Consider the following 3,220-nt stretch of genomic DNA (forward strand, 5'->3'; position numbering starts at 1 on the left):
TTTTTGATTTTACAAGCTCATAGGTGGAAGGGACTTGCCTTCTCTCAGATGACATTTTGGACTTTGGATTTTTGAGTTAATGCTGGAATTAGTTAAGACATTGGGGGGACTATTTCTCAATAGCTAAGTATACTTTAAAATGTGAGAATGACATGAGATTTAGGACGAGCTGGGGTGAAATGATATAGTCTAGATATTCTACCCACCCAAATCTCAAGTTGAAATATAATCCCCAATGTTGGAGGTGGTGCCTGGTGGGAGGTGTTTGGATCACGGAAGCAGATCCCTCATGAATGGCTTGGGCTATCCCTTTGCTGATAAATGAGCTCTCATTCTGAGTTCACACAAGATCTGGTCTGTGGCCTCACATGTGACATTAAAAGTGTGTGGAGGCCTGCACGGTGGCTCATGCCTGTAATCCCAGCACTTTGGGAGGCCGAGGCAAGAGGATCACCTGAGGTCAGGAGTTCGAGACCAGCCTGGCCAATGTGGTGAAACCCCATCTCTACTAAAAATGCAAAAATTAGCTGGGCATGGTGGTGGGTGCCTGTAATCCTAGCTACCTACTCAGGAGGCTGAGGTAGGAGAATTGCTTAAACCCAGGAGATGGAGGTTGCAGTGAGCCAAGATCGCACCACTGCATTCCACCCTGGGTGACAGAGCGAGATTCCGTCTCAAAAAAAAACAAAAAAAGTGTGTGGCATCTGTTCCTCCCCCTACTCTCTCTCTCTCGCTCCTGCTTTCACCATATGTCTTCCTTGCCCCCCACTTCACCTTCCGCCATGATTGTAAGATTCCTGAGGCCTTCCTAGAAGCCAAGCAGATGCCAGCACCATGCTTTCTGTGAAGCTTGCAGAACTGTGAGCCAACTAAAGCCCCTCTTCTTTATAAATTACCCAGTCTCAGTTATTTTTATAGCATTTCAAGAATGGCCTAACACAAATGATATAATGTGGCAATTCTCGAAATCAAATTATCCCTATTTCCTTGGCGGTTTTTGGTGTTGCTTAATGTTTGTTTGCTTGTTTAGTGACTTTTCTGAACTATTTCTATAGTCAGTAGTTTTTCTTGTATGTAGCCACCACAAAAGTATCTATTCTTTTAGTTTAACAGTTGGCTAGTGATTGGACAGATATTTTCTTAACCATAGTAAGATACTGCTGCATCCCAAATTTTCTTAGCAAAAAATATGGCATATTCCATATTGGGGCTGTGGCATTTAAACACCATTATTTCAGTGTTTGGAAGTTTTGTCAAATTTTATTAGGGTTAGTTTTGGGTCCTTTCTTAGATCATTTAATTGCTTGTTACATAGTCTGAAGGAAAGCAAACACCACTATGAAATATGTGGCCTGGAGATGGTTTCTTTGTCCACCTTTTATAGGAAGTGATACTGTCACCCAACACACATTACACTTCTCCCCATTTGTGTTCTGGCAACCTAAACCCTAATGTTATCCCCATGCACATATGCACAAATAGAAACACCAAGCCCATTTCTCTTCTTGCCTATGGGTTATAATGTTAAGAATGGAAATTTTTCTTCAGTGCTCAATCCTCACCTAGTCCTTATCCCCAATGTTTGGCTCATGGTAGGCCTGCAAATATGTCTACCTGTCAGTATATAAACCTACTGGCAGGTCAACCCCCTCCAATTCTCCTGGACCTCACTTTGCTTCTGTCTCACAAACTTGCCTCTTCCCTTCCTTCTCTCTTTTCCCACAATCAGATAACTTACAGAAATACATACACATGTTCTGAAATAAAGGGTTTTTCATAACATGTTGATTTTGTTTTAATTACCACCATCGCTGTTTCATTATGCTGTTGTATCTTGTAGGAGTGTCATTTTTTTTTACAGCATCTTGGGCCTGGCCTGAGTGCTTTGGCTCCTACTCAATCTTTGCTAGTGGCCGATTCTTGGCTCTTTTCACTCTTTTTACCTTTTGTGGAATTTCTGTACTAGTACTAGACGATTTTTTTCTTGAACTCCCATGAAGCAGTCGTTTTATCACCCTCTGTATCTTCTTCACCTGAAAGGGCAATAGAGTGATCACAAAAGGACCTTGTGTTCGAGGAAGGAGATAGGCACTGAATGAGAAGAGGAGCTTTGTAAAAAGGGACATGGGCTAATGAGGGGGTTTGTGCCAGGCAGGTAAAGCGTAGGAGACATAGGGGAGGGTGGATCAAGAGAAAAGAGCTTGAGTGAGGTGGTCTCACCTTGCCCCCTTTTCTGGCCCTGGGTTGACAGGATTTCTTCATCTTGTTCTTCCCTTTTGTGCTTGAGATTAATTGTTCTGTGCTTGGGTTTGATTGCTCCATAACTTTGCTAGATCCCTTCAACTTTCTGGTAACTTTAGCCATGTTGAAACCCCACAGTAGTCTTCTCTACCAGCATATAAAATGCCCATCATCAGGACAATGAGGAGCCACACCCTTTAGCTTTATTTGTTCATCTAGGCACTTCCCCTGGCCAGTAGGGGTTAAAGGAGCTGTAGACATCACAAAGCACTCTTGGCTTCTGCCTAATGGTGGGGATGCTGGGGAGATCCATGTGCTCTGGTTGGAGACAGGGGCATATCCTTAACATCCCACTAAAAAGCCTTCCCAAAATGACCTGTAATCCCTTCTCATCACTTGTACAGATGGCAAGAAAAAAGTGATGCCTCCAAGTCTTTCTCCATAGCCACTCCCATTCCATTTTTATTTTGTTCTCTCCCATCCTTCATCATGACCTAATATTTTGGATATCTTACCTAAAATCTCTCCAAGAAAATGTGATTATATTTAAGTTTCTGTGTAGATATAAATCACCTCATTCCCCTTCAAAAGATTTATCTTATGCACCTTGAAGACAATTTCATTCTTGGCTACTACACAAAACTTCCCATCTCACCTTCTTTTTCCAATGTCTGTATAGACCTCTTAAGTTTTCTAGTTTCAGATTGACATAGCAGCTCTTATCAGTCATGAAAATATTGTGATACTGGCATAAGGACAGACATATAGACTAAGAGAATAGAAGTAAGAGGCCAGAAATAATCCCACATATCTATGAAAAATTGATTTCTAACAAGGGTTCAAAGACAAGTCAGTGGAGAAAGAATAGTTATTTCAACAAATGATATTGTGGCAACTGGATATTCACATGCAAAATAGTGAATTTGGACCCTAAATCACATCATACACACAAATTAATTTAAACTGGATCAAAGAGCTT

The 3,220-nt window shown here is 41.4% G+C and overlaps 1 protein-coding gene across 1 annotated transcript; it reads right to left on the reverse strand.

Moving 5' to 3' along the window:
• Positions 1-1,763: 1,763 nt before the first annotated feature.
• On the reverse strand, positions 1,764-2,393 carry LOC122319696 (uncharacterized). The gene is made up of 2 exons (NM_001395872.1): positions 2,221-2,393; positions 1,764-2,033 (listed from the first exon to the last, which is right to left on the reverse strand). Exons 1-2 carry the CDS (start codon positions 2,362-2,364, stop codon positions 1,893-1,895), a joined length of 285 nt encoding a protein of 94 aa, NP_001382801.1. The 5' UTR covers positions 2,365-2,393; the 3' UTR covers positions 1,764-1,892.
• Positions 2,394-3,220: the final 827 nt, after the last annotated feature.

The sequence above is a fragment of the Homo sapiens genome, chromosome X (genome assembly GCF_000001405.40).
Source record: "Homo sapiens chromosome X, GRCh38.p14 Primary Assembly".
NCBI lineage: Eukaryota > Metazoa > Chordata > Mammalia > Primates > Hominidae > Homo > Homo sapiens.